This window comes from Homo sapiens, chromosome 13 (genome assembly GCF_000001405.40).
Source record: "Homo sapiens chromosome 13, GRCh38.p14 Primary Assembly".
Taxonomy (NCBI): Eukaryota; Metazoa; Chordata; class Mammalia; order Primates; family Hominidae; genus Homo; species Homo sapiens.
In genome coordinates, this window is record NC_000013.11 from 27,331,279 (window position 1) to 27,343,686 (window position 12,408).

The window sequence follows — 12,408 nt, forward strand, 5'->3', positions numbered from 1 at the left end:
TTTAGAAATTACAGCATCAATCTATTACAGATTTTGAATGGAACTATAATCCACTCATATGCCAGACATTCTGCCCTTGAAATCTTGTCATCCAGAGATTGACAGCTAGACAATTAATATAGCCACTTGGGTTGGTCAGAGGGCCATGTCAAGCATGGACAATTCCAAGTGTCTGCCCGATAAAAAGAGACCCTGTGCCCTCAGCATTGACCCTTTTAAAACAAGCTTGGTAGGGCCAGGGATCAATAATATTTAAAGCTATCAAGTTTTAGATAAGACCATTGAAGCCAGAAACATTAGCTGTGCAGGTGGAAAGAAGTAGCCTCTGGCATCATCCTTACAAAAAAACTCAGAATACACTTGGCCATGGGTATCCATGGGTTCCATATCTGTGCATTCAACCAGCTCTGGATCAAAAATATTTGAAAAAAATTGCACCTGTGCTGAACATGTATAGACTTCTTTTTCTTGTCATTTGTTCCCTAAAAAATACAGTACAGCAACAGTTTACATAGTATTTACATTATATTAGATATAAGTAATCTAGAGATGATTTAAAGTATTTGGGGAGATGTGTGTAAGTCATATTCAAATATGATGCTGTTTTCTATCAGGGACTTGAGCATCCTTGGATTTTGGTGGCCCAGGGAAGTCCTAGAACCCATCCTCCATGGATACTGAGGGATGACTATATATCTGAAGAACTTCAATTTTTCAGCATTCTCTTTTCATGAGGTCTTTTTAACGAGTCCCAAGGAAAGGCCAGTTACAGTTTGAAACTATCTCCAAAATCATGTCATCAACTGTGGGACACAGGAATGAGGAGGAAGAGGGATTCCTGACAGGTGGCCTTCTGCTCAGTGATGATTCAGAGATTAATTTTATGATCTTCTCGTTGACATCAATTAATGGAACAGCTGGCTGAGGGCTTCTGTTTTTCTTTACTGGGTTATCGCCTGACCCAAGAAAGCCAACACCAAATTCTTAGGGACAGAGGAAGAACTCAGCGTGTGTGTGTGTGTGTGTGTGTGTGTGTGTGTGTGTGTGTGTGTGTTTGCAAAAAATATGCATGTCCAAGAGGTCCATTGGCCCACTGGAGACACCAGCAGGAGTGTAGGAGTGTGACTGCTGTCTGTTGGGTGCCGTGTTCTTGATAGTTCTAACATGTTACTCAATTCCTGGTTGTCTCTTTGGGAATATAGGAAAGTCTAGATCTCTTCATTATATTATATATTAATATGCATCACTAACTTAGGAGCTTTGAAGCCAAAAAGACCAACCAGACATAGATCCTGCTCTTGAGTTTACAGAATAAAGCAGTGTTTCTCAACATTGATTACCCATTGAAATCACACAGGGAGTTTCAAACAATGCTGCTGCCAGTTTCACCCACTGAGATCCTGAATGAAATTGGTCCAGGATGTGGCCTGAGGCATTGAGATTTGAAACTTCTTGGGTGATTCTAATGTGCATCCAAAGTTGAGAACAATTGCAGTAAAGGAAAGACAAAGTCCCCAGAAGTCTGTAAGCTAAAGAGTAGTAATGGCTGGGCATGGTGGCTCATGCCTGTAATCCCAGCACTTTGGGAGGCTGAGACAGGAGGATCTCTTGATGCCAGAAGTTTGAGATCAGCTTGGGTGACATAGTGAGACCCCATCTGTGTTTAAAAAAAGAAGAAGATGAAGATGAAGACGAAGACGAAGATGAAGAAGAAGAGGAAGAGGAGGAGGAAGAGGAAGAAGAAGAAGAAGAGGAAGAAGAAGAAGAAGAAGGCTGGATGCAGTGGCTCATGCCTGTAATCCCAGCACTTTGGGAGGCTGAGGCAGGAGGATCACCTTAAGTCAGGAGTTCGAGACGAGGCTGACCAACATGGTAAAACCCCATCTCTACTAAAAATACAAAAATGACTGGGGTATGGTGGCATGTGCCTAAAATCCCAGCTACACGGGAGGCTGAGGCATGAGAATCGCTCAAACCCAGGAGGTGGAGGTCGCGCCACTGCACTCCAGCCTGGGCATCAGAGTGAGATTCTGTCTCAAAAAAAAAAAAAAAGAAAAAAAAAAGGGTAATAACAATTATCAGTCTCTAGGAGTGATAATACGACTATATAAATAGTGGAAGTATAACCTATAAGCATTGTGGAACTGTAATACAATTATACAATTTGAAGTTGCTGTTCTCTCTTGCATGCATATGCATGTATGTATGTATACATATATACACACATATATTACATAAGTAATACATTCTTCTAGTAATAGATCCAATGATATACAAATGTTTCTGTTCCCACAGACTGCTCAATGTGCAATTCTCCAGTCCCCTTTCTATGCATTTTAAGCACATTTATATATATATATATATATATACACATACATATATATATATCTAGTCACATATCAACAAAACTGAGATCAGGTTATCTAATCTGACTTTTAAAAATGTTGGCTGGGCGCGGTGGCTCACGCCTGTAATCCCAGCACTTTGGGAGTGGGAGGTGGAGGCAGGCATATCACAAAGTCAGGAGATGGAGATCATCCTGGCTAACATGGTGAAACCCCGTCTCTACTAAAAACACAAAAACAAAATTAGCCGGGCGTGGTGGTGGGTGCCTGTAGTCCCAGCTACTTGGGAGGCTGAGGCAGGAGAATGGCGTAAACCCGGGAGGCGGAGCTTGCAGTGAGCCAAGATTGCACCACTGCACTCCAGCCTGGGCGACAGAGCAAGACTCTGTGTCCAAAAAAAAAAAAAAAATGTTTAACAACTTTCACATCCACACTTTTTAATGGCTATTTAGTGTCATTGGCTCTTTGGTATACTTATACTCTGCTTTACTAAGCCACTCTCCAATAGCTTAGTAAACTTAGCTGTTTCTAGTTACTTGTGTTTCAACTGCTATAAAAACTCTTTATAGCAGCAACAAAACAACACAAATAGTTAAACAAGTAACTCTAAAACAAGAACTCAGAATTTTCTTAAGATTTAGGGGCCGAGTGAAATGGCTCACACCTGTAATCTCAGCACTTTGGGAGGCCAAGGTGGGAGGATTCCTTGAGGCCAGGAGTTCGAGACTAGCCTGGCCAACATGGCAAGACACTGTCTCTACAAAAAATTTAAAAAAATATTAACCAGGCATAGTGGCATGCACCTTTGGTCCCAGCTACTGGGGAGGCTGAGGCAAGAGGATCACCCGAGCCCACAAGGCAGAGGTTGCAGTGAGCCATGACCGTGACACTGCACGTGCCTGGGTGACAGAGAGACCCTGTCTCAAAAAAAAAAAAAAAAAAGTGAACAACTTAGTCTCTGATTGAAACCCAGAAACCTTTCATTTTTAATCCTGGAACCACTTCTGGCTTAATCAAATGCTCAGGCATTTGGGCAAAAAAAAAAAAAAAAAATGGGAGAAGTGTTGCTCTGGAAAACAAGTATGGTTTCTAGTGGAAACTCTGAAAGGAACACAAGCGTGGACTTTTTTGAGTAGGAGGAAAAGAATAAGAAGCAATGCATTCATCTGAAAAGAAAAGAAACCAGAAAGGGCGAGGTAGTAAGGAGACACTTCAACAATAGAATCCAGATTTCCTATTTTATTTCATTTTGAGAAGAGGGTGATTACGCATATACAAGTAAATCACTTGAGATGACTAAGCTGAAGGTGGGGTAGGAGGCGACAATTGTCTCTCCACCGTCACTGGCATGAGCAAGTGAAGTTTAAGTGGGAATAAAATCAGGAGATGCAATTTCATGAAATCACCAGTGCTATTGTGGAAAGCGGCAGCTGCCTCTGAGGACGCCTTGCCTGGCAGTGAAATCAGCAGGTAGATTTTCCAGGCCGGAATGCAATTGTTTAAGCAGTATATTAGATGTCTATTTCATCTGAAATAATAATCATCCGGTGCCCTGTTACGCACCATAGCAGCTGCTTCTCTCCTGGCATGGATGGGATTGGTGTAGAACCTGATGTGATGCTGACTTACCCCAGAGTTAACAGCAGATACTCACAGCAGATGTTATGATTCAACAGGTCAAGAGGCAAGCTCTCTGATGCTTGAGCCTGGATTATCGCCCCGAGACTTGCTGGTCAGAGTTTAATTCGATCATTTGTTAGTGTTATGACACTGTATGTACTTGTTCCCACGAAACCTTAGCTATTTGGGGCTTAGCAGTGGATTCATTTTAAAATTGTCTGAGAATTTTTTTTTTTTTTAAGAAATAGCTAGGAGTAAAGAAAAATAATCAGCATGGCTGTTTAGGCAGTTTGACTTCCCAAGTATCGTTTCTTATCTTGTAAATAATTACCTCACATCAAATGTGACAGATTTGGGGGATATGTCTGGGCATGCGCCCAGCACTCATCGGATGATGTTGCCTGAGCTGGGGGTTCCTGAGGCTTCTGCCAGGCAGTGGTCTGTTCACCCAGGGTTGTATGCTCGCAAATGGCTGCAGCCAAAGGCTGCAGGTCCATTCCTCTGGAAATGCTTTCGGTAATCAGCAGGAAGAGAACATTCCAAGCCCTCATTTTAGGCAACTTTTGAGTTTCATCTTTTTCTGAGCACTTCATAGGACATAGAAAATAAATGTTTTCCCTCCTCCCTTTTAGAAAATGCACTAGACAGTGGTGGTGAGGTCTAAAGGTGGATAAGAAGGAGAGGAATGGAGAAGTGAAGCACCTGGGTGGGTAAGCTGTCCATGATCTGCCTCTGAGACATTGCCTTGTTTTATCCCATGTGGTCTGTTGAACTCCCATCCCTCCTCTGCCGGGTGACAATCAGCACAGGGGTTGGAGTGACAGCATGAAGGTGATGGCCCACCCATGTCAATGGCCTGAGACTGCCTGGTGAAGAGTTGGTGGTGCATTATGACTAAAGCCTCTTATCTTCCCACCCACTGTTCATGGAACCAAGGGTTTCATCAGGATTTGTTATTTCACTCAAGTCTGGGAATTAACTGTGACTCAGTGTTGAGGGCTAAGGCATAAGAGGGCATCTAGCTAGTTTAACTACAGCCTAGTGGACAATCAATTATCAATTCTGACTGTTCTGAGTCAGGCCAAGCGATCCCTTATTAATTCTGACTGTTCTGAGTCAGGCCAATCCCCAGCCCAGCAGCTGCCCAGCATCCACAGTTGCTGACCATGCTGGGGTCCCTGGGCCATGTACCTTCCCGACATTGCCTGGCAGGTCCAGCACAGGACTGTTTTGCTTGGAGCTCCCCAGTGTTTGGACTCACAGTGAGAGAGCATGCATATGTTTAGAAAGTTCTGGTGGTGGGCAGCAGGGTGCAGTCCAGGCAGGGGCGTTTCATCCTGCTCAGCCGGCTGCTGTCCCCACAGGAGGGCAAAACACTTGGTGGGGAGAGCACAGGGCCCAGTCTCCGGGGCTGCAAGTCACATCTCTGCATGTCAATGCCATGAGGACAGGCCCGTGTGTGTCCTGCTGACAGGTCCTCAGCACTGAGCGCATGGCAGGTGCTCAGTTAATACTGGCTAAATGGACAAAGAAATCAGAGAGGGACAAGGAAACATTTGAGTCAACAAGATAAACAGGGAGAGTGGAAGATACTCTCACAAATGAAATGCTATGATACAGTGCTGCTCAAAGTTCCCATCGAAATAGCTCTCCTAAGAGAAGGGCGGAAGGCACGCTCAGACTAGGGGGCCTGGAGTGGAGCCCTCGGGACAATAAGGCACATTTAGTGATGTGCGATTCATGGCCCGGTTTCCTACAGCCAGCTTCGGGTTTGTGTTGAGGTCCCTGCCATGGACCCCTCCTGGCCGAGCTCCTGGGCTGCCTCTTGGTAACTTCTACCCCCTAAGAGTCCCTGAAGCGTGTTTAGACCCTCAAAGTCTAGCCCCGAGGATTACAGCCCTGAGCCAGAGTTGCCTCCGCTGTGTGACTACAACGTCCTTCAAGTCCTCCTTTCCTGTCGGAGGTCATGGGATTGCCTCTTTTTTTTCTGGAGGAGAGGCTGCCCTCCTGCCCTGGAGGTGTGGCCTCTACCTGGGCAGTGGCAGCGCCCAGCATAACTCAGCACAGAGTCCAGCGACAGCACCAGGGACACCACTTGCAGAAATTGAGACAATGTGGGAAGAATTTCCTGACAAGCTGTTGGATATTAACGGAGCCTAACAGAAGCTGAAATCCGCTGGCAGACCCTGCACGGTGAGAAGCCCCTTTGCCTGCACAGACTGCATGCGGATGAGCTCACCTAGAGTTTGGTGACCTCTTCAGGTGTCTGAGATCCCACCATTCCACAAGCCCCTTTCAAAATATTATTGTGACCCAGTTTTAAGCAAGTAATTAGACAGTCTTATTTTACAGCCCAGGAATCTAGGCCATGGCATGGTGGGCCATTTGTCCAAAGTGAACGGAAAGCTAGGCTTTGTCAGCTTTTTGCTGTCCTCTGAGGAGCTTCCAAAATTGGCAAAGCTCTGGTTTCAGACTTATAATTAGCCTTCAGAAAACGATGACAGATCATCCTGCTATATCGAGGCCAGTCTCTTTTTCCCAGGAACCTGACACAAGGTCCCACTTCAAGCATTCCATGACCCAATTTGTCTTTCTTGGTGACTGGAGTGTGGCGACTGCAGGAGAAACAGCCTGTGGCTGGCAGCGGCGGAACTCCTGTCCCTGCCCCTCTCCTAGAGAATGGAGCTCCCCGTAGGGGGCTCCTTTTGGCTGAGGCCCATGGGCTCAGCTTCTTGGGCCCACGGAGCCTCAGCTTGCACCCCGAATGCTGATGGTGCTCAGAATTGATATTGTGGGTAGTTACAGGCCCTGGGTGTCTCAAATAAACTGTGAGTAGGGGGATTGCTTTAGGGGCTTCTGATTTCTCCCTACGGCTCAGATGCCCTCCCTCAGTTCAAAGTCTTTAAGCCCACATGATTGGTCCTGGAGTTCTTGAGGTGAGCCTTGGGTTGGGAGATATCTCAGGCTCAAGAGCAGTCAAGGCCATGCCCTACTCACTCTGGTCCCACTAATCTACTCCCCACAGAACATTACACTCTGTACCCCCACCACAATACAACCACACATGTGCACACACACCATGCACTCACACACACCACACACTCAGCCCCCATACGTCACACCACATGCACACACACTTACATACATGCATCACACACCACACACACACAGTCACACATATACTCACACCTCCACATCCCATACCACATACACACATACCACATATCACACATGCAACACATGCACACTCACACCCACACCACACACACAGCACACTCCTCATGCCCTCCACATCCCCACACCCCACACACTCATATACCACACATCATACACACATACACTATGCACAACTCACATCACCCATCCCTATACTCTCACACCACACCTCACATACACATAGCACGCTCACACCTCACACACACACACCACACCACCTTTACATTCGCAGAGTTTTGTAAGGTCTTTCCAAAACCCGTGCAATGCCAGCCTGGCCAACACGGAGAAACCCTGTCTCTACTAAAAATACAAAAATTAGCTGGGCATGGTGGCGGGCGCCTGTAATCCCAGCTACTTGGGAGGCTGAGGCCAGAGAATCGCTTGAACTTGGGAGGCGGAGGTTGCAGTGAGCCGAAATTGTGCCGCTGCCTGGGTGATAAAGCGAGACTCAGTCACTAAAAAAAAAAAAAAAAAAAAAAAAAAAAAAACCAAAACCCGTGCAATCCTCACTTCTAGCAACCGCCAGGGGTCTCTCCCCACTGTCTGTGCCATTCAGTGGCCATAAGCAAGACAACACCTTCACTGTGGGTGTCCTGGCTAGAGAAAGGGGTCCAGCTTGGAGACATAGTTTGCTAGTACATCAATCATTAAGAAAATCATATGTGTTTAAAACACACTGAATTTTATTTTCTTTGGAATTTTTTTAATTTTTTACTTAATATTACATTAGGGTACAGTATAACACAACGTGGATTTTTATCCTGGCTCTGCCATTTACAAGTCAGTTAACCTTTGACAAGCAGCTTGATTTCCTCATCTGTGAAATAGGAATGACTATTATTTTTTTAAATGCTTTTTTTTTTTTTTTTTTTTTTTTTTTTTTTGAGAAAGAGTCTCACTCTGTTGCCCAGGCTGGAGTGCAGTGGTGCGATCTCAGCTCACGGTAACCTCTGCCTCTCGGGCTCATGCGATTGAAATAGGAAGAATTCCATATGTCTCAAAGGGTTGTTGTGAAGGTAAGGGCCAACCGCATAGCGCCCCTACTGTTCTGTTTGGTGCATGGTGGGTGCTTAGTGCATGGTAATGAGGAGACAAGCAATAGAGTTGTCTTCATCTGGCTCTGCCTCTCCCAGTGGCAGGGGCTGCACCCATTCTCAACATTCCCTTGGGCCAGGGCCCCCAACTTCTCCAGGTCCTGGGGAGATGGTGTGTCCCACTGGCTAAAGGATGAATGTATAGCTTTTGGCCCATCACCTCTCCATGAGTGTTCTACCAGTGTGGAGATATCTTCAGCTAGAAAAAAAAAAAAGTCGCTGGGCACAGTAGCTCATGCCTGTAATCCCAGCACTTTGGGAGGCCGAGGCAGGCAGATCATTTGAGGCCAGGAGTTCGAAACCAGACTGGGCAACATGGTGAAACCCTGTCTCTAGTAAAAATACAAAAATTAGCCAGGCATGGTGGCGCGCACCTGTAATCCCAGCTACTCAGAGGCTGAGGTACGAGAATTGCTTGAACCTGGGAGGCAGAGGTTGCAGTGAGCCAAGATCTCACCACTGCACTTCAGCCTGGGTGACAGAGTGAGACTCTGTCCCAAAGGAAAAAAAAAGTATCCTTCTTGGGGCAGTCTGGTTTCTCTGGAGGTTCATTCACTCCCTACAGGCGTCTCTCATTGGCTTTCTGCCTGCCAGTCTCACCTGCCTTCCTGCATGAACTGCTCTAAGGAAAAAGCAATGTTCTATTTGTTATCCTGGGTGGTGGTGACTCTGGTGTTGACTTTCTAATACAGAGATGATAGACTTCATAATATTTTTAATAAGTGAAAAACCAAAGTAGCAATATGAGGGTTGCCTGGAAAAGAGCTGGGCTGAAAAGGAGGTGAGTTAGGAGGCTCCTGTCAGATCCAGGTGAGAAGTGGTGAGGGTCTGGACTTGGGCACTGGCAGAGAGAATGGAGAAGCGGGGAGGGCATCCTCACACCCCAAGGTGGTGGAAACGAAGTGCTTTGGCACCTGCCGTTGCACTGAATACATACGAGGGAATTGTCCAGAACTCCAATGACCCCTGGGTTTCCTTTAGCAGACTGCATAGTCTGTGGTGGGTGGGGCAGCAGGGGAATGGGTTGAAAGGGATGATACCTTTTGTTTAGGGCGAGTTGAATTTGGAGTGCTTCTGGGAACATCCAAGTGGAGTGTCCGGTAGTCAGTCAATAAGGGGACTGTAGCTCAGCAGAGTCAGGAGCAGCTGTCTTCAAAAAATGCTCAACAGCGGCAGGGCGCGGTGGCTCATGCCTGTAATTCCAGGACTTTGGGAGGCCGAGGCAGGCGGATCACGAGGTCGGGAGATTGAGACCATCCTGGCTAACGCGGTGAAACCCCGTCTCTACTAAAAATACAAAAAATTAGCCAGGCGTAGTGGCGGGCGCCTGTATTCCCAGCTAGTCGGGAGGCTGAGGCAGGACAAAGGCATGATCCCGGGAGGCGGAGCGCAGTGAGCTGAGATCGCGCCACTGCACTCCAGCCTGGGCGACAGAGCGAGACTCCATCTCAAAAAAAAAAAAAAAAAAAAAAAAAAGCTCACCAGCTAAAGATTGCTCCAAGTATACTCATCCATTGCTTAACGATGGCAATATGTTCTGAGAAGCGCATTGTTAGGCGATTGAGTCATTATGCGCAAATCACAGAGTGCTTGTACACAAACCTAGATGGCATAGCCTGCTGCACACCTGGGCGATGTGGTCTGGCCTATTGCTCCTAGGCTACAATCCTGTATGGCAGGTTACTGTACTGAATCCTGTAGGGAACTGTAACACGAATCACTAGGCAACAGGAATTTTTCAGCTCCATGATAATCTTATGGGACCAGCATCCTATATGTGGCCCACTGTTGACTAAAACACCATCATGACTGTAGTTACTTCCTCTTCTACTTGACTGGAGGGGCCAGAATCTCCCCCACACCCTGGTAATTTTGCAGACTGAGTCAGTGGATGGCCTTTCTCCCATGGTCCATCTTTCTTTACCGAAGCACAGAGTTTAATGATTTTTTTCAGGCTCCTTTTCCCCCGGTTATAATGTGGAACTGCTCAGCCTGATACTTAAGAAGCTCATTTCCCATTTAAACCTTATTAGAAATCTAATTCCTCCACTATAAAATGACAATGCAATAACTTCAGCTTCCCCTGCTAAGTTGGGGAAAGAGGCATCAAAAGCCACAAGTAAACAGGAAAGGCAGAGAGAATGAAAACAAACCTAATATTTATTCCAGGCCCTGGGGCGTAGTTCACAGCTTCAGGGAGGCTCCTCTGCTCTTTGGGCACACCTCCGGGACTCTTCCCTAGTGTCTGCTAGTGGAAAAGACATGCGGGGGAGAGAGGTGTCCTCCCATCACCTCCCTGGCCCAGTGCCCAGCATATGAGGAAACAGAGACCAGGGAGGTGATAGTGCCTGGCTGGGGTGATTGATGGAGCTGTACAGAGAGCCAGGGCAGAGGCGCCCGGGTGCGTGATGTGAGGAGCTGCTCAGTCTGCCCTTGCACAACCCTGAGAGTCACTTCAAATCTTGAACTCTAAACACTTTTCTTGCTTCACCCTACCCCAGACCCCGGTCACAGACTGAGGATAAAATCTCAGGTATCTTGATGCTGGAGTCTGTGTTCTTCTTTGCTGTACCACACTTTGTGGACTATTTCAAACTCATCTTTCATAGCTGGGCTCAAATTTCCCTTCCATGAAGCTGCCCTTGATTTACAGGTTCCAGAGGCCTCTTGCCCCCACCTACCTTTCCCTGGCACTTGGTTCATACTTACCTTAAAGTATTGATCCTGTTAAGTCTTATGTGCCTGTTTCTTCTCCCAACTCTATCCCAGGATAGTCTTTATAACACAGAACTCAGTATATGTCAAGCACTTAATAAATACTAGTTAAACAGTGAATGAATGAATGAATGGCCCTGTGATTTGCCGTTCAGAATGCAGAGGTGTGGCCTGGGAACAATGTGCTGTGGACACAGCTGGTCACAGGGGTCGGGTCCCCGGATGCTTCCTCTCTTTGTGCGCTTTCCTCCCCACCCACATGCAGACCTCCCTCCAGTCTTCAGAGCTGGACCCTTCTCAGGACTCAACTTTAGTGGGGAGGAGGCTTTCCTGAGTGCAGCCCCGGCCACTGAGTCCCGTGCTCGGCTGCTCTCCCCTTTTCCTTACTCCACTTCAGTGTTCTCTTTCCAATCCTGGTACCTGGCCCACCATCTGCCTCTCAGGCCATTTCCATCACAGAGAGGGGATGTTCCCCGACAGCTCTCTTCCAGGAGGGCCCAGGTGGTTCTGAGCACTGCAGGTGCCCAGCAAGGAAGCAGGTGAAGCTGACTTACATCATCTACTGCTGTGCCCCATAAAACTCATACTTTACTGCTTTTTCTAGGATTTTTAGATTCAAGGGGTACATGTGCAAGTTTGTTACGTGGATATGTTGCATAATGCTGGGGTTCAAGCTTCTGTTGAGCCCGCCACCCAAATAGTGAGAATAGTACCTGAAAGGTAGATTTTCAACCCTCGCCCCCTCCCTCCCTCCTCTCTTTTGGAGTCCCTGGTGTCTACTGTTTCCATCTTTATGTTCTTGTATACTCTTTGTTTAGCTCCTATTTATAAGTGAGAACATGTAGTATTTGATTTTCTGTTTCTGTGTTATTTAGGAAAATGGCCTCCAGCTGCATCCATGCCGTTGCAAAGGACATGATTTCAAGGCCGGGCACGGTGGCTCACGCCTGTAATCCCAGCACTTTAGGAGGCTGAGGTGGGCAGATCACCTGAGCTCAGGAGTTTGAGACCAGCCTGGCCAATGTGGTGAAACCCCATTTCTACTAAAAATACAACAACAATGAAAAAAAGTAGCTGAGTGTGGTGGCATGTGCCTATAATCCCAGCTACTCAGGAGGCTGAGGCAGGAGAATTGCTCGAACCCAGGAGGTGGAGGTTGCAGTGAGCCAAGATCATGCCACTAGACTCCCGCCTAGGTGACTTCGTCTCAACAAACAAACAAAAGGACACGATTTCATTCTTTTTAATAGCTGTGTAGAATTTCATAGTGTATATGCACCACATTACCTTTATCCAATGCACCATTGGTGTGCACCTAGGTTGGTTCCATGTCTTTGCTATTGTGAGTAGTTCCACCAGACATCGGCACTGGCGTGTTTATCACAGCTTTACTGCTTTTGTTTCTATGTATTTATTTA

At 46.7% G+C, this 12,408-nt stretch overlaps 3 annotated features.

Annotated features, from left to right (window-relative positions):
* Positions 3,776 to 4,975: an enhancer, noted in NCBI's record as "BRD4-independent group 4 enhancer chr13:27909191-27910390 (GRCh37/hg19 assembly coordinates)". NCBI's record gives its function as "activates an origin of replication core promoter dependent on BRD2, P300/CBP, MED14 and CDK7 cofactors, and independent of BRD4, by STARR-seq in HCT116 cells {active_cell/tissue: HCT116}" and the evidence as "EXISTENCE:reporter gene assay evidence [ECO:0000049][PMID:35650434]".
* Positions 3,776 to 5,481: a biological region, named in NCBI's record as "BRD4-independent group 4 enhancer GRCh37_chr13:27909191-27910390".
* Positions 4,790 to 5,481: an enhancer, noted in NCBI's record as "H3K4me1 hESC enhancer chr13:27910205-27910896 (GRCh37/hg19 assembly coordinates)". NCBI's record gives its function as "activates a minimal SCP1, AML or CMV promoter by ChIP-STARR-seq in naive H9 embryonic stem cells {active_cell/tissue: H9 hESC(naive)}" and the evidence as "EXISTENCE:reporter gene assay evidence [ECO:0000049][PMID:30033119]".